Source organism: Homo sapiens, chromosome 20, assembly GCF_000001405.40.
Source record: "Homo sapiens chromosome 20, GRCh38.p14 Primary Assembly".
In the NCBI taxonomy this organism is placed as follows: Eukaryota; Metazoa; Chordata; class Mammalia; order Primates; family Hominidae; genus Homo; species Homo sapiens.
In genome coordinates this window covers 32,105,715-32,127,081 of record NC_000020.11, presented here as the reverse complement: position 1 = coordinate 32,127,081, position 21,367 = coordinate 32,105,715, and the positions used below count along the sequence as shown (strand labels likewise).

The window sequence follows — 21,367 nt, the reverse complement described above, 5'->3', positions numbered from 1 at the left end:
GTTGAGCCCAAAGCCCATGTTCAAACCAGGACAGAAATTAGTTCAACAGGCTGGGTGCGGTGGCTCGTGCCTGTAATCCTAGCACTTTGGCAGGCCGAGGCGGGCGGTTCACCTGAGGTCAGGAGTTTGAGACCAGCCTGGCTAACATGGTGAACCCCGTCTCTACTAAAAATACAAAAATTAGCCGGCGTGGTGGCAGGCGCCTGTAATCCCAGCCACCTGGGAGGCTGAGGCAGGAGAATTGCTTGAACCCAGGAGGCGCAGGTTGCAGTGAGCCAAGATAGTGCCATTGCACTCCAGCCTGGGGGACAAGAGCGAGACTTCGTCTCAGGAAAAAAAAAAAAAAAGAAATTAGTTCACCAACTACTTATTGAGCACCTACTGTGTGTCAGGCACTGTGCCAGCCTCAAGAATACATGCCCACAAGGAGCTTTCAGGCGGGTGGGGAGACACAGATGAGCCATCAGCCCATCACAACACTAGGTCCCAGATGCTCTCAGCAAGTTAAGAGGCTAAGAACAATATGTTGGGGAGTACATGGGAGCAGCAATATACCCAGTCTTGGGGCAGGGAAGGAGTGCAAATCTAAGAACTTAAGTCTACCCTGAAACCTGAAGGGAGGCGAGAGGAAAAAGAGAAGGGTTCCAGAAAGAGCAAAACACAGACGCAAAGGCCTGGTGGCAACTATGAGTTTTTGGCAGGTAATATATAGGCTGGTGCTTCTTAAAGTTTAATGTGCATTTAAATCACTTGGTGACATTGTTAAAATGCAGATTCTGATTCAGAAGGTCTGGGTAGGGCCTGAGACTCTGCATTTCTAACAAGCTCCTAGGTAATGACGACACTTTTGGTTCATGGACCATCCTATGAGTAGCAAGTGTTGGGCTTTGTTCTCAGTGCAGTGAGGAGACTCAGGAATTTTAAGTAGAAAAGGAATAAATCATATCTGCAGTTTTAAAGGTTACTCTGGCTACTGTGTGTGTGTGTGTGTGTGTGTGTGTGTGTGTGTGTGTTTACGGGAAAGAGGGCTGTGTGCAGCACATTTCTGCTCTGGAGACGCAGTAATATCCAGTCCTAGATTTGACATCTAATAACGATAAATGAAATAATCTAGCCCGGTGCGGTGGTTCATGCCTATAATCCCAGCACTTTGGGAGGCAGAGGTGGGTGGATTGCTTGAGCCCAGGAGTTTGAGACCAGCCTTGGCAACATGCTAAAACCCCATCTCTACCCAAAATACAAAAAGTTAGCTGGGCGTGATGGCACGTGCCTGTAGCCCCAGCTACTGGGGAGGCTGAGGTGGGAGGGATCACCTGAGTCAGTGAGCCATGATCACACCACTGCACTCCAGCCTGGGTGACAAAGCGAGACTATGTCTCAAAAAAAAAAAAAAAAAAAAAGAAAAAAGAGAAATCACTTATAAATTCTTGGTCAAATGTGAAGAGAAGCAGCAGCCAGGTACCGAAGCGGAGCACATGACATGCAGTGGTGAAACTTGAGCATGCATGGAAATTACCAGGAGGGCTTACTAAAACACCTGGGTCTGGGGCAGGGCCTGAGAATGTGCACTTCTAGCAAGTTCCCAGAAGATGCTGCTGCTCTTGAAATCACACTTTGAAAACCACTGGTGTACTGGAAAAAGCACAGGCTTTGAGGGCCATACAGACATGAATTCAAATCCCAAACCTACCACTTCCTAGCTGTGTGACTTTGGGTAAATTTGTATAACTCTTTTGAGTCTTGGGTTCTTATCTGTAAACTAGGAAAATACTACTAACCTCATGGTAGGGTGATGGTGGTAAAGATTAAATAAAGTTCACAGAGCACTTGGCACATAGTAGGTGCTTGATAAGGCGGGGTGGACTTGTTTTGGGTTGCACAAGAAAGCAGAACCAAGGAGGACACTGCAAGGGAGATGCAGTGGGCCCACTCTAAGGGCTCTTCTAACAGGAAAGCTATGCAACCGTCACCGTGAGCTGAGTGACCATGGGAGGAGGTGGCAGAGGAGGTCTCTGCCCTGATGAACAGGTTGAATCAGAGGTCTCATGACCTCCCTTGAAGCTCAAGAAGTTCATAATTCCCTTGAGAATATTTGACATTTTATCAACCAAAGTAACGTAAAAGTAAAACAAAACAAAACAAGGCAAAGTTCCATTCCAAGTTGGGTTTGATGGGGTTAAAAAGACAATTTGTAGGGCTGGGTGCGGTGGCTCACACCCGTAATCCAAGCACTTTGAGAAGCCAAGGAGGGTGGATCACCTGAGGTCAGGAGTTTGAGACCAGCCTGACCAAGATGGTGAAACCCTGTCTCTACTAAAAATACAAAAATTAGCCAGGCGTGGTGGCACACGCCTGTAATCCCAGCTACTTGGGAGGCTGAGGCAGGAGAATTGCTTGAACCTGGGAGGCAGAGGTTGCAGTGAGCCAAGATTGTGCCATTGCACTCCAGTTTGGGTGATGGAATGAGACTTCATCTAAAAAAAAAAAAAAAGTTTTTAAAAGAACTTCAGAGGTCATATAATCCAGGGGGTCAGAGAGGGAAACTGAAAGACCCACGGTCACACAGCAAGTTATCTGCAAAGTGAAGTAAGTCCAGTTCCACCCAGACTGGCACAGCCAAGTGAACAGAGGTCTATCACCAGGCTGGGAACCATGCTTAGGGACAGTTTGAGGTCACGATTAGAGGTGTTCAAGAAGAACTGTACTGCCACAGATGAACTGCTTATTTTTCTCCTTTGACCATCCCTTTCCAATTATTTTCCTCTGATTGTTTGTCTCACTTGTCTCTCCCCCAATTCAAAGCCTTTCTTTTAACAAACCATTGTAGTCAATTTGGTATTTGTCCGTTACTTCGGGATGATTTTGAAAAGAGAAATAATGAAGGCAGGCTAGTTTTACTAAACATTAAAATGTAGACCTACCCAGGCCAGGCATGGAGGCTCACACCTGCAATCCCAGCACTTCGGCAGGAGAATCACTTGAGGACAGATGGGAGTTTGAGAACAGCCTGGACAAAATAGTGAGACCTTGTCTCTACAAAATTATTTAAAAATTAGTTGGGTATGGTGAAGTGGGCTTGCAGACCTAGCTACTTGGGAGGCTGAGGCAGGAGGATCACTTGAGTTCAGGAGTTTGAGGTTGCAGCGAGCTATGATTGTGCCACTGCACTCTAGCACAGATGACAGAGGGAGACCCTATCTCTTTAAAAAAAAAAATATATATATATATATATATATGAGAGAGAGAACACGTGAGCTAGAGAGCTATCCAAAGTGTTTGATACTGGTGAAAAGAACATAAAAGACTTACAAGTATAATTAAAATAGAAGTATTAGAAGAAAATATGGATATGCTTTTAAATAATCTTCATGGAAAGTTTCCTAAGAATAAAGCAAAATCCAGAAGGTATAAAGAAAATGTATATATAAATGTATAAGGGAAAAAAATGAAAAAATACACCAAAGAGAAAGAAAAAGAGTTTAGGTAAAAACATTTAACATACTTGACCAAGAACTACTTTCTTCAATATACAAGGACACTTAGAAACTGATAAAGGACAAATAATCCAAAAGAAATACGAATGGGCAGTTAAAAAAAAAAGCTCAAATGGCCAAACACAAAAAGATGCTCAGCATCATTCATAATTTAAAAACTGTAGGTCAAAATAATATCTCATTTTTTGCTTAACAGAGTTATAAAGCTTTAAAAAGTATGATTAGCCTAGATGTAGGTAAACTGGTACAGTCTTTAGGGAGGGTAATTTAGTGATATATACTTACATAGAAGGTAGAACTGTTACTGAAGTACTGCCAACATAAGCTATTACGTAGAAAAAAAAAAGCCTCTCCCTCTCCCTCTCCCCCTCCCCCCTCCCCCTCCCCCCTCCCCCTCTCCCCCTCCCCCCCTCCCCCTCTCCCTCTCCTCATGGTCTCCCTCTCATGCCGAGCCGAAGCTGGACTATACTGCTGCCATCTCGGCTCACTGCAACCTCCCTGCCTGATTCTCCTGCCTCAGCCTGCGGAGTGCCTGCAATTGCAGGCGCACGCCGCCACGCCTGACTGGTTTTCGTATTTTTTTGGTGGAGACGGGGTTTCGCTGTGTTGGCCGGGCTGGTCTCCAGCTCCTAACCGCGAGTGATCTACCAGCCTCGGCCTCCCGAGGTGCCGGGATTGCAGACGGAGTCTGGTTCACTCAGTGCTCAATGGCGCCCAGGCTGGAGTGAAGTGGCGTGATCTCGGCTCGCTACAACCTCCACCTCCCAGCCGCCTGTCTTGGCCTCCCAAAGTGCCGAGATTGCAGCCTCTGCCCAGCCGCCACCCCGTCTGGGAAGTGAGGAGCATCTTTGCCTGGCCACCCATCGTCTGGGATGTGAGGAGCCCCTCTGCCTGGCTGCCCAGTCTGGAAAGTGAGGAGCGTCTCTGCCCGGCCGCCATCCCATCTGGGAAGTGAGGAGCGCCTCTTCCCGGACGCCATCACATCTAGGAAGTGAGGAGCGTCTCTGCCCAGCCGCCCATCGTCTGGGATGTGAGGAGCGCCTCTGCCCGGCCGCCACCCCGTCTGGGAGGTGAGGAGCGTCTCTGCCCGGCCGCCCCGTCTGAGAAGTGAGGAGACCCTCCGCCCGGCAGCCGCCCCGTATGAGAAGTGAGGAGCCTCTCCGCCCGGCAGCACCCCCGTCTGAGAAGTGAGGAGCCTCTCCGCCCGGCAGCCACCCCGTCTGGGAAGTGAGGAGCATCTCCGCCCGGCAGCCACCCCGTCCGGGAGGGAGGTGGGGGGGGTCAGCCCCCCGCCAGGCCAGCCGCCCCGTCCGGGAGGGAGGTGGGGGGTCAGCCCCCCGCCAGGCCAGCCGCCCCGTCCGGGAGGGAGGTGGGGGCATCAGCCCCCGGCCCGGCCAGCCGCCCCGTCCGGGAGGGAGGTGGGGGGGTCACCCCCCCCGCCCGGCCAGCTGCCCCGTCTGGGAGGTGAGGGGCGCCTCTGCCCGGCCGCCCCTACTGGGAAGTGAGGAGCCCCTCTGCCTGGCCAGCTGCCCCGTCCCGGAGGGAGGTGGGGGGGTCAGCCCCCCGCCCGGCCAGCCACCCTGTCCGGGAGGGAGGTGGGGGGGTCAGCCCCCCGCCCTGCCAGCCGCCCCGTCCGGGAGGGAGCTGGGGGGGGTCAGCCCCCCGCCCGGCCAGCCGCCCCGTCCGGGAGGGAGGTGGGGGGGTCAGCCCCCCGCCCGGCCAGCCGCCCCGTCCGGGAGGGAGGTGGGGGGTTCAGCCCCCCGCCCGGCCAGCCGCCCCGTCCAGGAGGTGAGGGGCGCCTCTGCCCGGCCGCCCCTACTGGGAAGTGAGGAGCCCCTCTGCCCGGCCACCACCCCGTCTGGGAGGTGTGCCCAACAGCTCATTGAGAGCGGGCCAGGATGACAGTGGCGGCTTTGTGGAATGGAGAGGCGGGAGGGGTGGGGAAGGGATCGAGAAATCGGATGGTTGCCTTGTCTGTGTAGAAAGAAGTAGACATGGGAGACTTTTCATTTTGTTCTGTACTAAGAAAAATTCTTCTGCCTTGGGATCCTGTTGATCTGTGACCTTACCCCCAACCCTGTGCTCTCTGAAACATGTGCTGTGTCCACTCAGAGTTAAATGGATTAAGGGCGGTGCAAGATGTGCTTTGTTAAACAGATGCTTGAAGGCAGCATGCTCATTAAGAGTCATCACCACTCCCTAATCTCAAGTACCCAGGGACACAAACGCTGCAGAAGGCCGCAGGGTCCTCTGCCTAGGAAAACCAGAGACCTTTGTTCACTTGTTTATCTGCTGACCTTCCCTCCACTATTGTCCTATGACCCTGCCAAATCCCCCTCTGTGAGAAACACCCAAGAATGATCAATAAAAAAAAAAAAGAAAAATAAAAAAAAAAAGAGGCACAGCGGGTTTATGTAGTTTATGTATAGCCTTTTTTCACTTGTCTAAATAAATTTTTAAAAACCACGTGCCAAAGCCAGGCAAAGACATCACAAGAAATGGAAACTACGGACAACTATCCTGTGTGTTCATGATGATGATGAACAGATGAAAAAATTCTTAACAAAATATTAGAAAATTGAATCTAGGTTTATACATCATGACCAAGTGGTGTTTATCCCAGGTTGGCTTAATATTTGAAAATCAATTAATATAATACACCAGATAAACAGAATAAAGGACAAAAATCATATGATCATCATAATAGATGTAGAAAAAGCTGTTGACAAAATCCAACATATTCATCATTAAAACTCTCAACAATTTAGGACTAGAAGGGAACTTAATCAGATAAAGGGCAGCTATGAAAAATCCACAGCCAACATCATACTCAGTAGTGAAAAACTGAATTATTTCCCCTAAGATCAGGAACAAGGCAAGGATGCCTACTCTTGCCATTTCCATTCAACACTATACTATAAGTCACTGCACTAAAGCAAACACATTAATAATTAAGGGCATCCCTGAAGAAGCATAGGGGAAAAAATTAAAAGAAATAAGCAAAAAGTGCTTTTAGTTGCGGATCACATGATTGTGTATCTAGAAAATCCTAAGGAATACACAAAACAACTACTAGAACTAATAAACAAGTTAACCAAGGTCAGACTATAAGATCAATATAGAAAAATTAATTGTATTTCCACATACTAGCAACAACAATCCAAAACTAAAACTAAAAAAAAAAAAAAAAAACGCACCACTTAGTATCAAAAAGAATAAAATATTTAGGAATATATATTTTTAAAAGGACTTGTATATTGAAAATTCTGAAATTGCTGAGAAATGAACAAAGGTAATTGCGGAGATATTCCATGTTCATGGACTAGAAGACTCAATATTGTCAGGATGTCAGTTCTCTCCAAATTGATCTATAGATTCAATGCAATCCTTATCAAAATTCCAGCAGGTTTTTCTGTAGAAACTGACAAGCTGATTCTAGCATTTATATGGAAATACAAAGGACCCAGAACATCTAAGACAACCTTAAAAACGTAATTGGAGGACTTATACTACATAATTTCTAAACATATTATAAAGCTACAATATCAAGACAGTGTGGTAAGAATATGCATAAAGATCAGTGGAAAATAATTAAAAGTCTATAAATAAATCTTTACATTTATACTAAATTGATTTTCAACAAAGCTGACAAGGCAAATTCAATAGAGAAACATAAGTCTTTTCAAAACATAGTGCTTGGACCACTGGGTAGCCATATGCACATGGAACCTCAGAACATACACACAAAAATTAAGTCAAAATGGATCACAGAACTAAACAAAAAAGCTAAAACTCAAAAACCTCTATACGGAAAAAATAAGAAATCATTGTGATCTTGGGTTAGGCAAAAATGTCTTAGATACAACACCAAAACCAGAATCCATTAAAAAAATTATAATAAATTAAATTTCATAAAAATTTAAAAACTTTTACACTTCCAAAGATACCACTAAGAAAATGAAAAGATGGGCCAAAGACTAGTGGAAAATTCTTTGCAAATCACATACCTGATAAGGAACTTATATCCAGAATATACAAAGAACACTTAATAAGAAAATGACAATCCGATTTAAAAATGGACAAGAGATTTGTACAGAAATTCACCAAAGAAGATATATGAATGACTAATAAGCATAAAATATATTTAATATCATTTGTCAATAGGAAAACGCAAACCAAAACCACAGTGAGGTACCACCACACACCCACTAGAATCTGCTTGCCTCGGCCTCCCAAAGTGCTGGGATTACAGGCATGAGCCACGGTGCCCAGCCCTAATTTTTGTATTTTTAATAGAGACTGGGTTTCATCATGTTGCCCAGGATGGTCTTGAACTCCTGGGCTCAAGCGATCCACCTGCCTCAGCTTCCCAAAGTGCTGACATTACAAGCATGAGCCACCAAATCTGGCCAAATAAACCTCTTTTCTTTATAAATTACTCAGCCTCAGGTATTCCTTTATGAGCAACACAGTCTCCCAAAATGCTGGGATTACAGGTGTGAGCCACTGCGCCTGATCCATTTTATAGCTTTTTAAAGACTGACAAGTAAAAATTGAATATATTTATGGTAGGCACACAACATAATGTTTTGATACTTTTATAGCTTTTTAATACTCTTTTCCACATACATGGATCACCCTTATTAAAAATAAATACATTTACGGGCAGAGTAGCTCAGGACTATAATCCCAGCACTTTGTAAGGCCGAGGCAGGTGGATCGCTTGAGCCCAAGAGTTTGAGACCAGCCTGAGCAAAACCTCGTCTCTACAAAGAATACAAAAAATTAATGAGGAATGGTGGTGCTTGCCTGTAGTCACAGCTACTCTGGAGGCTGAGGTGGGAGGATCACTTGAGCCTGGGAGGTGGAGGTTGCAGTGAGCAGAAATCACGCCACTGCACTCCAGCTTGGGCAACAGAGTGAGACCTTGTCTCAAAATAAAAATAAATAAATAAATAAATAAATAAATAAATAAATAAATAAATACAACAAAATAAATACATTTAGGCTGGGCATAGTAGCTAATACCTATAATTACGTGGGAGGATCACCTGAGCCCAGGAGTCCGACGGCTGCAGTTAGAGTGAGCTATGATTCCACCACTGCACTCCAACCTGGGTGACAGGGTGAGACCCTGTCTCTAAAAAAATTAAAAAATTAAAGACATATATTCATTTATATTTTAAGAAGTGAAGGAAATGGGTTGCCTCTGAAAATACTGGGATGAGTTCCACAGAAGATGTGCAGAAAGTGGGCTAAGGTAAGAATTATGCAGAGCGGATTCTGGCACCAGGTATGTGGGTAAGCAGACAGATCAGCAATTTTTAATCTTGGGGAGGGTGTCACAAATCCCTCTGAGAAACTTATCAAAGCTACAGATACTGATCTCGGAAAAAATATTCCAATACACAGAGAATCAAGGACTAGAAGTTCATGGGTTTCTGGTAAAACCCCTGGACACTGTTCCAACTTTTTATGATTCTATGACTTCATCACCTTCTATATTCCTGATAGCCTGATAGAGGATGTTTGGCCTGCAGTTCTTTTCTGTAAGGAAAAAGCAAAGTACCTGCTTCTTAGGAAATTCCTTTAAATTTTCTTTTAATTTTTAATTGATTGCCTCATTAACTCCCATGAGAGGTTCAGTCTGAAAAGTCAATTAAATATTTAGTAATCATCTTCTGCATGTTCAGAGCCATGCAAAGAGTCCTAAGAGATGTGAACCAGCCCATTCAACGTCATTTTGCTTTTGCTACTTGGTTTCCAAGTAGCAAAAGAGACCTCAAAGGCAGCATATCAAGGAACAAGGTGATGGCAATCTAGAAGCCTTTTGTGCTGTAATCTAACACGCCATCACTGGCAAAGATACAGGTGACCTGGAATGTTATAAAGCTCAAGAGAACCAAGAATCAAGGTCTTTCCCTCCCCATCTGTTTTATTCTTGGGGGGGCGGGGGTGGGTTGGGCACTCAGAAATATCTCCCCCAAACAGCTGTCTAATGAAGGGCTGCTAGGACTCAAAAGTACCCCCAGCCACTCCAAATTCACCCCACCCAGTTTGAAAGGTGTGAACAATTAACATCTTCCAAAGAAAACAGGAAGTTTCCCTGAGAACGAAAAATTATTTCATTCACTTGCATTTCTCTGTAACCAGAAGTTAACTTTTTCTGGAGCCCTCTGCCTTGCAATCTCCTTTCCCATAAATAGCATCAACTAGCAGCAATACATCTGGCCAATCTGAACGGCCTTTTTGGTTCCTGTTCCATGCCTTTCCTACTGCAAAAGCAGCATTTTCCTTAGCAATAGACTAGATTCTTCTTTTTCTTTCTAAAAGACAGTCACTTTTTTTTTTTTTTTTTTTTTTTGAGACAGAGTCTAGCTCTGTTGCCCAGGCTAGAGTGCAGTGATATGATCTTGGCTCACTGCAACCTCCGCCTCCTGGGTTCAAGTGATTCTCCTGCCTCAGCCTCCTGAGTGGCTGGGATGACAGGTGCCTGCCACCAGACCCGGCAATTTTTTTGTATTTTTGTAGAGACAGGGTTTCGCCATGTTGGCCAGGCTGGTCTTGAGCTCCTGACCTCAAATGACCCACTCCGACCTCGGCATTTCCCAAAGTGCTGGGATTACAGGTGTAAGCCACTGTGCCTGGCGACAGTCACCATTTTGAGACCATGTCAGTAACTGCTCCCTCAGATTAAGCAAAAAAAAAAAAAAAAAAAAAAAAAAGAAAAAGGAAAAAGGAGGAAAAAAAAAAAAAAGAAAAAGGCTTTGGGCACAGTTTGCCAACAGTTAACTGAAGTCAATTATCCAGTCAGTTAAAGCTTACCAAGAATCCAGCCGCATGTGAATGAAGGCTAATGACAGCTAGAGACAACTTACCAAGCAGGCCCATGGAACTAAAGAACTCACAGAGCAAGAAACAAACAAACAAACAAACAAAAAACAAATTAGCCACAGGAAACTGAAAATGTAGCCTTTATTTCAGAGCCCACAGACACAGAGTAGCTGTTGAACAGAGACACATGAAAGACTCAAAGCTGTAATTTGGGGGTAGGGAAAAACGCACAGCAGGCTGCACTGCGGAAGTCCAGGTGAAACTAATAACCACCCTCACGAAGCAACAGGCAACCAGACTTCAACCCTGACACCACCAAGTGCAGAAACGTACTGCTCTCCTGTCTCCACCTTGGGTATTTATAAAAGAACTCTCAGCTAGCCCAAGCAGCAGGCTTAGATAGCTCACCACGGGAAGACTTCAAACCTTGGAGTAAAGTTACAGAGTGCCCTCTCTGTGCTAGCACTTTCATCTCATATTTCATTTAATCATCACAACAATCCCTTGAGAATATCATCCTTGTTTCAAAAATGAGATGATGAAAAAGTTCTGGAGACGGATAGTGCTAACAGCTGCATATGTGTAAACGTACTTAATGCCACTGAACTGCACACTTAAAAATGCTTAAAGTGGGCCAGGCATGGTGGCTCATGCCTGTAATACCAGCACTTTGGGAGGCTGAGGCAGGTGGATCACCCAAGGTCAGGAGTTCGAGACCAGCCTGGCCAACATGGCGAAACCCTATCCTTACTAAAAATACAAAAATTAGCCAGGCGTGGTGGCACATGCCTGTAGTCCCAGCTACTTGGGAAGATGAGGCAGGAGAATCGCTCGAACCCAGGAGACAGAGGTTGCAGTAATGCACTGAGCTGAGATCGCACCATTGCACTCCACCCTGGGCGACAGAGTGAGACTCTGTCTCAAAAAAAAAAAAAAAAAAAAAAAAGCTTAAAGTGGTAGGTTTTGTTATTACCACAATAAAAAATTTTAATATAAGGTAATTGAGGCTTAAAAGCGCAAACGGTTTTCCCAAAATCACATAACCAATCAGTCCAAAGTCACAAAAGTAATCACAGTGTCAGAGCTGGGAGTCTAGCCCAGATTCTCAGACCAAGCATAAGAGGATTTCAAACCCTGGGAGGTCTGTTGGTTTAAAGCATCAGGCATAGGTGAGAAACCATGTTAGGAAGGGAGAGAAGGAAGCAATGAAAAGGAATGAGATGGAACTGAGAAGTCCTGGGTGTCCCCATCCATGCCCCATTTGGGAAACTCTAGTGTCAGCAAATGGTTCAGGGATCAAAGCAGGCTTGAAGGTGGTAGTGGCTCCTATTATTCATCCGTGGCCAGATGGCTCTTCTCATCCTGGGTCCTTCCCACCTTTTTGCCAGTGCCCAGAGATCAAAACTCAGCCTTCTCCAACATTCTCTGACGTGCTTCTTTAATGCCAAGATCAAAGGGAGACGTTTGTCCAAGTTGTAAAACAGAAACTAAGAGGCAACTTAATGTGATCCCAACCTCCTCTGTACTTCCTGAGGGGGATTAAGGGCATTCCTTTAAAGGGACCCCTCAGAGAAACACATTTAACCAAGGCCCGATGTCAGCACCTCAGCTCCAAGGACACAGTAGCTCCTGCAGAACATGAGCCAGGTGGGGAAACCTGGGTGATCAGACAGACAATACAACCAACACAACAGCTTGGAAAGATCACAGTGACCATCATCATGGAAAAAACAAAATAAGTCTGATTTTATAGGCATATTAGCAAAACTCACCTTAAAGTATTCCAAACTACAAAATTTTCAACTCAGAATTTGGAAATCATCAAGTACAAACCTTAATTTCACACATGACATATGTGGAAAACAGACTAATGAAGCCAAAGTAATTTGCCCCAGGCCACACAATGCATCAGTGGCAGCGCTGGGACCAAGCCCAGGCTGCTGGCTCCTGCTCCAGCGTTCCTTCTTCAGTCAGCTCATGTCCTCCTGTACATGGGGTCCAGAGGAGACAGCAACTTCCTGCACACAAGACTGATGGCACAGTTCAGGCCTCTGGCCTTCTGTTCCAGGACTCTATCATCCAACCTGATTAGCACGCTATTTCACCATTAAAAACAGTTTTTGCTGGGCACAGTGACTCACACCTGTAATCCCAGCACTTTGGGAGGTCAAGACGGGAGGATTGCTTGAGGCCAGGAGTTCAAGGCTAGCCTGGGCAACATAGCAAGACCCTGTCTCTAAGAAAAATATAATTAAAAAATTAGGTGGATGTGGTGCGTGCCTGTAGTCCCAGCTACTCAGAAGGCTAAGGCAAGATGATCGCCTGAGCCCGGGAGGTGGAGGCTGCAGTGAACTATGATCGTGCCACTGCACTCCAGCCTGGATGACAGAGTGAGACCCTGTCTCAAATAATAATAACAAACAAACAAAACCAGTTTCTGTGCCTTTGACTGGGGCTGGAGGGACTACTGGCATTGGCTCCATTAGCACAAAGGAATCTTGATGTCATTTATTCCATTCCTGTTTCTGGAGTGGCTCAAACCCAAGTAACCTCAAAACAGTGTGAACTGATGCAGGAATACACTTCCATACACCCATGGAAACTGAATGTATGTTCACACAAGAACTTACACCTGAATGTTCACAGCAGCATTATACCTAACAACCAAAAAGTGAAAACAATCCCAATATCCATCAACTGATGAGTGATAAACAAGCTGTGGTACATCCATACAAGGGAAGATTCAGCCATAAAAAGGGATGCGGCACTACTGATACATGATACAACATAAACAAACTTTGAAAACATTATGCTAAGAAGCCAGACACAAAAGATCACATATTATATAATTATCTTTGTATAAAATGTCCAGAATAGGCAAATCTATAGGGACAGAAGGTAAATTAGTAGTTGCCTAGGGCTGTGGGGAGGGAAGAGTAGGGAGTGACTCTCTTTTTGGGGTGATGAAATGTTCCGAATTACACAATGGTGATAACCATCACATTTAGTGTATGCACAACCTATAAAAACACTAAAACCCACTAAATTATATACTTTAAAGGGGTGAATTTTATGGCATATGAATTATATCCATAAAGAAGATTATAATAAAAACCAAAACAGTATGAACAATGATGTGAGGGAAGTAGAGTTTTATTCTCCAAACTGAAGTTTCTAGACTCCTGACACATCTAGAAATGTACTCAATGGACATTTCCCAAGTTTCAATGAAATAATATTCCCAAGAACCGTTTTCCATAAAGAGTGAGACATGAGCCCGCATCTCAATTCAGACCTAGCTAGATCAACACTGTATCCTGTAACTTTACAGAGTAGTCTAAATCTAAGGATGGAAGAAGACAGGAAAATCAAAGAGAACTTCAGTTTACACCAGCTATCTTCTATGGAGGGAGAAGTCTTGCCCTGCGGGTTCAGGAAACACCCTCCATACTGACATTGTTCTGGGAGCTGGCGGCTCAACCCTTGGGGAAGAAGAGCCATTCACCAAGGAAAGAGAGAAAGGGAAAAGCTCACATGCCACCGCACTTGCACCCACAACCCTAACTTTCAAAACAAAGGACAAACCAGCAACCCAGCTATTCCCACGGCCACTGGATCCACTAGTTCAGTTCCTCTTTGGCTGTATGACTCACCTCAGAGACCCATACACTCCAAAGTAGGTCTACCGCACCCCCTCGCCCCAATGGTTATGAAATGAGGGTGTGTATGAGGGTGTGGGGACTATTCTGACTTCCGTGTAATGAAGTGCTGACACAGACCAAACTCAAGCCTGTGACTCCACTTTGCCCCTTCATCACATACCCCTGTAATAAATTTGCTTCCACACCTTTTCACTATTGCACCAGATATGAAGTTTCTCCATATGCACCCTTTAAACTGGCCTCTGTGGGTCACTGCATATGTTACATACTCAGTTTCTTTAAATCAGTTACTGTTTTCAGTACAACACTCCCAGGTGGCACAACAAACACTAAATCACCGTACTTGCAGGGTTTTGTTGGTGGTGGTGTGTTTTGTTTTTTGTTTTTTTTTTTTTTTTGAGATAGGGTCTCACTCTGTCACCCAGGCTGCAGTGCAGTGACACGATCTTGGCTCACTGTAGCCTCCGCCTCCCGGGTTCAAGCGATTCTTGTGCCTCAGCCTCCCGAGTAGCTGGGATTACAGGTGTGTGCCACCACACCCTGCTAATTTTTGTATTTTTAGAAGACAGGGTTTCGCCATGTTGGCCAGGCTGGTGTTGAACTCCTGGCCTCAAGTGATTTGCCTGCTTCAGCCTCCCAAAATTCTGAGATTACAGGCATGAGCCACTGCTCCCGGCCTGTTGTTGTTTCTTAAGACAGGGTCTCGCTCTGTTGCCAAAGCTGGAGTGCAGTGCAGTGATCAGGGCTCACTGAGGTTCAAGTGATCCTCCCACCTCAGCCCCGCAAGTAGCTGGTACTACAGGTGCACACCACCAAGCCCAGCTAATTTTTTCTTTTTGTATTTTTTTTGTAGAGGGGTTTGCCATGTTGTCCAAGCTGGTCTCAAACTCCTGAGCTCAAGCGATCTCCCAGCTTTGGTCTCCCAGAGTGCTGGGATTACAGGTGTGAGTCACTGTGCTGGGCAAAAATCACTGTCCCTTCCACTGTGCTTAGACTAAAATCCAAACTCCTTTCCACAGCCTCTGTGCCAACTGAGAACAAGCTGGCTCCCTTCAAGTACTGTCCTGAAGGGGATGGGAAGGGGAAGCAGCCTAATACAACACTATTTCAAAATGCAATCCACAGACAACAAAATGTAGACCGCAGTCCTTCCCATTTCCAGGCATGCTTCTCAAAACAGTTGCTCTTGCTTCCCTCCAGTTTCATCTTGTATCATTCTCTCCTACCCCAACCCTCATCATGCTTCGGCCCCTCCAGCCTTCTGTGTGTTCCTCAAAAACACCAAGCTCCCTTCCACATCGGCCCCTTACACTTGCCATTTCCTTTGCTTGGAACATTCTTTGCATGGCTGGTTCCTTCTTGTTAATTATGTTTTAACTCAAGTCACCTCCTCTGAGAAGACTTCTTTCTGACCACTCAATCCAAAGTAGTTGTGTCACCCAGTCACCCCTAATCACTATCACTTCATTTTGCTGTCCTCACAGCATCTACTGGTGACATTATTTTGTTCACGTATTTACTTGTTCACTGCCTGTCTCCTCAAACCAGAAAGGCTCCACAAGTGTAGGGACCTTGACCCTGTAATTCACAACTACATCCCTAGTTCCTGGAACAGAATTGGTACTCAAATATTTGTTGACTAAATAGATGTGTACCACATATATGTATTGCTAGCTTATAACCTCTTAAAAATCTCTGAACAAGGCAGGGATTTCCCAGTGCAGTGCCGTAAATACCACTTTACTCAATGTTTTCCTTATAGCAAGAGAGGGTGTGATTTCCTTTTAAGTTCTTACACTATCTCTGTTCTGAATGTGGTACCAGAATATATATACATATATGTAGGTTTCAACATACTACTTTGAGGATTTGCCCCACTCGTGGTTCAGCCTGAAGTCTGAAACCACAGAAACCAGGTAAGGCCATGAAATCTTTTTACCTGACCTCTGAAGTTCTAAATAAGGAATCCCTCATTAAACAAAGGTAAGTTCTCAGTCAGCTAAGAGAAGGAGGGAAAATTGCTACCAGTCAATAATATATCCCTGTTTGGAGAAAACCAACACCAAATTATTTAAGCCAGAATCTTCCTTTGCTAAAGTCAAATGTCATTTCCTTTTCTCTGAGTCTTCCTTGTCATTCACTCCCCGGACGAAATTATCTGCTGAGGAGGCAGTATGCAGGAAGACCCAGGAAATCATTCTGGACTAAGTGACTTCAATTTTAGTTCTGGTCTCTTGACAAGCAGAATTTGAACTAAACTTTTAGAAAAAGGGCCAGTCCTTCAAAGATTTACTTCCAAGGTTCTGCACCAGGAGCCCGCAAGCTCTGACCCAACTTCCAAGCATGGCTATTTTACCTCCACCCTCATCCACACACAGACTTCATCCCAACATATAGCTTCATAATAAAGAGCCTTCATCCCTAACGAGCTGTGTGGCCATGTTGGGGAATGGGAAGGAGAGCAGTGAGGTGGGGCTATTAGTGTTTTTCAAAACGTAGTTCACAGACCACCTCCACTATATAATCACTAGAGTGCTTATAAAAGGGCAGATTCCTGGGCATCACCTAGCCCTATGGAATTAGAATCTCTGGGAGTGGGGCTGCTCAGGAAACTGCATTTTTAGCATGCCTCCCCCTACACACCTCGAGATTCTTATGCACAGTAAAGTTTGAGAACCAACAGGGTAAAAGGTCCCTAAGAGAGGGGCAGGGAGTTGACTGAGAGAAGACAGGAAGGGCAGGGAAGCCTCTAGGGATGAAAGATGGGGGTGGGGTAGGTGAAGGCAAGCTCTGGGGTAGCGGCAGTCAAGGGGGTGCGCGATGGGGACAGCTATGAGTGTAAGTGAGGACAGGGCTCTGAAAAGGATCTGAGGCAGCGCTTGGGCTGGGAGGGTGGTCAGAGGAGAGGTCACATCTGCGGACTGGTTATGATGGTGGGGAGGCGGGGAGAGCAGGGTCTGGACGTGACGGGGAGGAGCAAGGATGAGAATAACGGGAGGGGGTCTTCAGAGGGGTCAGGACAGGGAGGTGAGAAATGGAAAATGGGGCTCACAGTGGGCGGAGACCAAAAGTAGAATGGGAACCGGCGAAGGCAGCAGCCGAGGTCTTCCTCCGAAACGGCGCCTCCCCCAAAACTCGGGGCCTTCACAAGCCTGAGTGCAGGGGCAGGGCCAGGGAGGTGGATTTCGGGGAAGACAAGCCCAGTCAGAGGTAGCCCTCAGGCCTGAGTCAGGGGTCCCGGAGGTGGCTCAGGGCCAGGCATGGGGTGCTGGAAGATCCTGGGATACCCCGGAGGGCCCCGCTCCAGCTCCCGCTCCCGGAGTCTCCTTCACTCACCATCGCCGTCGCCATCTTGGATCCACGTGTCGCCGTAATGACGTCAGCGGAAGTGGTGCTCCCTGGTTACGGAGTTTAACTCCACAAGGTGGTCGTCTGGCTTCAACCGCTCCTGTAGTGGCGGTCAGCAGAGGGGAAAAGGAGTCTTAGCTCCTGCTCGACAGTCTGGTCTGGGAAAGTAAGGTCGCTGATTAGGTGAAGAGAGAGAACGGTGTAACTAAGGAAGCCATATTAGCTCCTGGCAGAAACTGAGCCTCCCTTATTCCCGCTGCATTGTGGGTAATGGGGGTGTGCGAAAGTGCGCTCGTGCTCTCAGCGCCATCTTTACTACTGGCAGGAAGACCCATTGCCAGGGTTACCTGAGACCTTGATTTGAGGGAAAGGGTGGGCACTGGGGCTCCAAGAGCAGTACGACTCCAAGAATAATTTGTAATTATATATTTAAGTATTTGTTTGATTTTAAGTATTTGTTTGACTATCCTATATCCTCTTTAGTAGACTGTAATCCCCATGAGGGTGGACCCTGTTTTTTTGTTTGTTCGTTTTTTACCTTGCTCTTCCTCATTCCCATCTGTGAAATGGGAAGGGGGTTGGTTCATCATAGGCTTGTGATGAGGATTCAGTGACACAGTATTACATAGGATGTATTCAATAAATAATTGTCAGTATATGTTTATGTATACTCCTTTGGGCTTGTGGTAGATGCCCAATACATTATTTTTTAAATGAACGAGTGAAAACCAGCATATTCAGTGGAGGGAGATATCTCTGAATGTGGACGTCATGCACTAGCTTAGTGTGTGACTCCAGACAAGTCACGCAATCTTCCTAAGCCTCAGTTTCCAAATCTGTGAAAAAGAGACTCAAAGAATCATGGTATTAAGGTTGGGAAAGAACTCAAAGTTCATTTGACCCATGTATATCACTTTAAACTGAATACAGTACCAGTGCTATCTTAGACTGTTTTAAAAAAGCTATTAAAAGAATAATAATGATTAATAATAATCATCAGCACTTGCCGAGCATTTTGTGTGCTGCAGCACTTAGCATTATGCTAACAGTTCATTAGACTCTTTTTATCTAATTCTAGGGGGCAAGGGACAGTTGAACTCTGATCCCCACCTATGGGCACCACTGTGGTGGATTTTCTGCAAAGATGGCTGCCACGTAGTTCTGTCCGTCCTTGCATGATGAGCATACGGTTTCTCTCCTCAAGAGATAGACTCTGTTTTACCTCCTGTTGAATCTGGCTGGTCATGTTGGTTGCTTTGACCAATAGGATGTGCTACAAGTGATTCTGCCAGTACTGAGCCTAGGCCTTAAGAGGATTGAAAACGTCTGATTCTACCTTCTTGGTTATAAAGAAGTGTAGCTACTCTGCTGGAAAGGCACCTGGAGAGAGAGGGAGGCCCAGCCAACTCCTCAAGACATTCTAGAAACTACAGCTAAGCACTATAATATGTAACTGAAGTCATCTTGGACATTCCAACCCCCACTGAGCTACTAGCTGAATGCAGCTACATGAATAACCTCATGAACACCATGTGGACCAAAAGAACTGCCCAGCTAAGCCCAGCTTTAGAGTGGGGTGGTTTATTATAGATCATTTCAGTAATAGATCATTGAAACACACACCCATTAACTCTTGTGACCTGCACAACCATCCTGAAGATTGGCAGATTGGCTATTAACCCCAAGGAGGAGGAAGCTTGAGAGACTAGGGGGAATTTGCTGCAGTCTCATAGTTTCCAGACTTGGAACCAGTTTTCCTAGAGCTTCGATCCTGAGTGTTTCCCACCATTTCTAGCTGCCTGAAGAAAGATAACTGATAAGGAGCAAAGCTCCATAAATGGCCTATTATTTTTTAGTATTTCCATTTTTTTTCTCATGCTTTGTATTTTTCCCTAAAGGCCTTTCATATCCCAATCTCTTTTGGTGACATATGCCAGAATCCTAGAACTAGACTGCCTGGGTTCAGAACGCATTTCCACCACTCATTAGCTCCATAACATGGGCAAGTTTCTCTTTTTTTTCTGAAAAAAATTTTTTTTGAGATGGAGTCTCACTCTGTTGCCGAGGCTGGAGTGCAGTGGCGCAATCTCAGTTCACTGTAACCTCTGACTCCCGGATTCGAACAATTATCTTGCCTCAGCCTCCTGAGTAGCTGGGATTACAGGTGCATGCCACCAAGCCCGGCTGAGTTTTTGTATTTTTAGTAGAGATGGGGTTTCGCCATGTTGGCCAGGTTGGTCTAGAACTCCTGACCTCGAGTGATCTGCCTGCCTTGGCCTCCCAAAGGGCTGGGATTACAGGTGTGAGCCACTGGACCCGGCCTAAATATTTTTCATTGTTGTAAAATATGCATAACTAAATATTGACTATTTTAATCATTTTTAAGTGCACAAATCAGTGAAATCAACTACATTCACAAAGTTGTCAATCATTACCGTCATCCGTCTCCAGAACATTTTCGTCATCCCTAAAAATGAATATCCACATGCAAAAGAATGAAATTGGACCTTTATCTCACACTATATACAAAATCAATTCAAAATGGATTAAAGACTTATAGGGCCAGAAACTGTAAAGCTACTAGATGAAGACATAGGGAAAACTTGACATTGGCTTGGGCAATGATTTTTTGGATATGACACCAAAAGCACAGGAAACGAAAGCAAAAATAGACAGGTGGGATTGCATCAAACTAAAAAGCTCTGCACAGCAAAAGAAACAACAGAGTAAAAAGGTGACCTCCAGAGCTGAGGAAAATATTTACAAATCAAAAACGATCTGATAAGGGGTTAATATCCAAAATATATAAGGAGCTTAAATAACTCAATAGCAAAAAATCCCAAATAACCTGGTTTAAAAATGGGCAAGAGATCTAAGCAGACATTTCTCAGGAAACAGACAAATGGCCAGCAGGTAAATGGAAAGGTGCTCAACATCCTTAATCATCAGGGAAATGTAAATCGAAACCACAATGAGCAATCATTTCACACCTCTTAGAACCATTATTATCAAAACGACACATAATAAGTATTGGCAAGGATGTGGAGAAAAGGGAACTCTTGCATAAATTGGTACGGTCACTATGGAAAACAGTATGAATGTTCATCAAAATTAAAATTAAAAATGGAACTACCATATAATGCAGCAATCCCACTTCTGAGTATATATCCAAAAGGAAATGAAATCAATGTCTGCACCCCCGTATTTATTGCAGCACTATTCATAATAGCTAAGATATAGAAACACAGCAGCTGTAAACTATAATCTATGTTTAATATAAGTATATAACTATATATTTATAAATATAAAATATATATAATATTATATATAACTTTTTAAAAGGTTTATTTATCTATTTATTATTTATTTGAGATGGAGTTTTGCTTTTTGTTGTCCAGGCTGGAGTGCAGTGGCATGATCTTGGCTCACAGCAACCTCCGCCTTCCAGGTTCAAGCGATTCTCCTGTCTCAGTCTCCCGAGTAGCTGGGATTACAGGTGCCCGCCACCAAGCCAGGCTAATTTTTGTGTTTTTAGTAGAGACGGGGTTTCACCATGTTGGCCAGGCTGGTCTGCAACTGTTGACCTCAGGTGATCCACCCGCTTCGGCTTCCCGAAGTGCTGGGATTACGGGCGTGAGCCACCACTCCCGGCCTATTTATTTATTTTTGAATTTTCTTTTTGAGACAGAGTTTCACTCTGTCGCCCAGGCTGGAGCGCAGTGGTGCAATCTCAGCTCACTGCAACCTCTGCCTCCCAGGTTCAAGTGATTCTTTTGCCTCAGCCTCCCCAGTAGCTGGGGCTACAGGTGTTTGCCACCAAGCCCGGCTAATCTTTTTGTATTTTTAGTAGAGAAAGGGTTTCGCCATGATGGCCAGGCTGTTATCAAATTCCTGGCCTCAAGTGAGCCACCCATCTCAGCCTCCAAAAGTGCTGGGATTATAAGCGTGAGCCACTGTGCCCCGCTATTTATTTATTTTGAGACAGGGTCTCATTCTATCACCCAGGCTGGAGTGCAGTGGCACAATCAC

General features: G+C 45.0%; 1 protein-coding gene across 4 annotated transcripts in view, besides 6 other annotated features; it reads right to left on the bottom strand.

Moving 5' to 3' along the window:
• TM9SF4 (transmembrane 9 superfamily member 4) overlaps positions 1 to 17,368 on the bottom strand; it is a 57,543-nt gene extending 40,175 nt beyond the window's left edge. For 2 of the 4 annotated variants that reach the window (NM_001363731.2, XM_017028155.2), the window contains exon 1: positions 17,043 to 17,368. Coding sequence is in view for 2 of the 4 variants with exons in the window: in NM_014742.4 (NP_055557.2) it covers positions 17,327 to 17,341 (15 nt within the window). In the remaining 2 variants the exon portion in view is untranslated. The remainder of the gene's footprint in view (positions 1 to 17,042) is intronic. The other 2 variants (NM_014742.4, XM_017028154.2) reach the window with 1 other exon arrangement.
• Positions 5,051 to 5,944: an enhancer, noted in NCBI's record as "NANOG-H3K27ac hESC enhancer chr20:30708941-30709834 (GRCh37/hg19 assembly coordinates)". NCBI's record gives its function as "activates a minimal SCP1, AML or CMV promoter by ChIP-STARR-seq in naive H9 embryonic stem cells {active_cell/tissue: H9 hESC(naive)}" and the evidence as "EXISTENCE:reporter gene assay evidence [ECO:0000049][PMID:30033119]".
• Positions 16,362 to 17,104: an enhancer, noted in NCBI's record as "NANOG-H3K27ac-H3K4me1 hESC enhancer chr20:30697781-30698523 (GRCh37/hg19 assembly coordinates)". NCBI's record gives its function as "activates a minimal SCP1, AML or CMV promoter by ChIP-STARR-seq in primed H9 embryonic stem cells {active_cell/tissue: H9 hESC(primed)}" and the evidence as "EXISTENCE:reporter gene assay evidence [ECO:0000049][PMID:30033119]".
• Positions 16,362 to 18,051: a biological region, named in NCBI's record as "MED14-independent group 3 enhancer GRCh37_chr20:30696834-30698033".
• Positions 16,852 to 18,051: an enhancer, noted in NCBI's record as "MED14-independent group 3 enhancer chr20:30696834-30698033 (GRCh37/hg19 assembly coordinates)". NCBI's record gives its function as "activates an origin of replication core promoter dependent on BRD2, BRD4, P300/CBP and CDK7 cofactors, and independent of MED14, by STARR-seq in HCT116 cells {active_cell/tissue: HCT116}" and the evidence as "EXISTENCE:reporter gene assay evidence [ECO:0000049][PMID:35650434]".
• Positions 17,105 to 17,849: an enhancer, noted in NCBI's record as "NANOG-H3K27ac-H3K4me1 hESC enhancer chr20:30697036-30697780 (GRCh37/hg19 assembly coordinates)". NCBI's record gives its function as "activates a minimal SCP1, AML or CMV promoter by ChIP-STARR-seq in naive and primed H9 embryonic stem cells {active_cell/tissue: H9 hESC(naive and primed)}" and the evidence as "EXISTENCE:reporter gene assay evidence [ECO:0000049][PMID:30033119]".
• Positions 17,268 to 17,447: an enhancer, noted in NCBI's record as "active region_17710". NCBI's record gives its function as "activates an Ori minimal core promoter by ATAC-STARR-seq in GM12878 lymphoblastoid cells {active_cell/tissue: GM12878}" and the evidence as "EXISTENCE:reporter gene assay evidence [ECO:0000049][PMID:35858748]".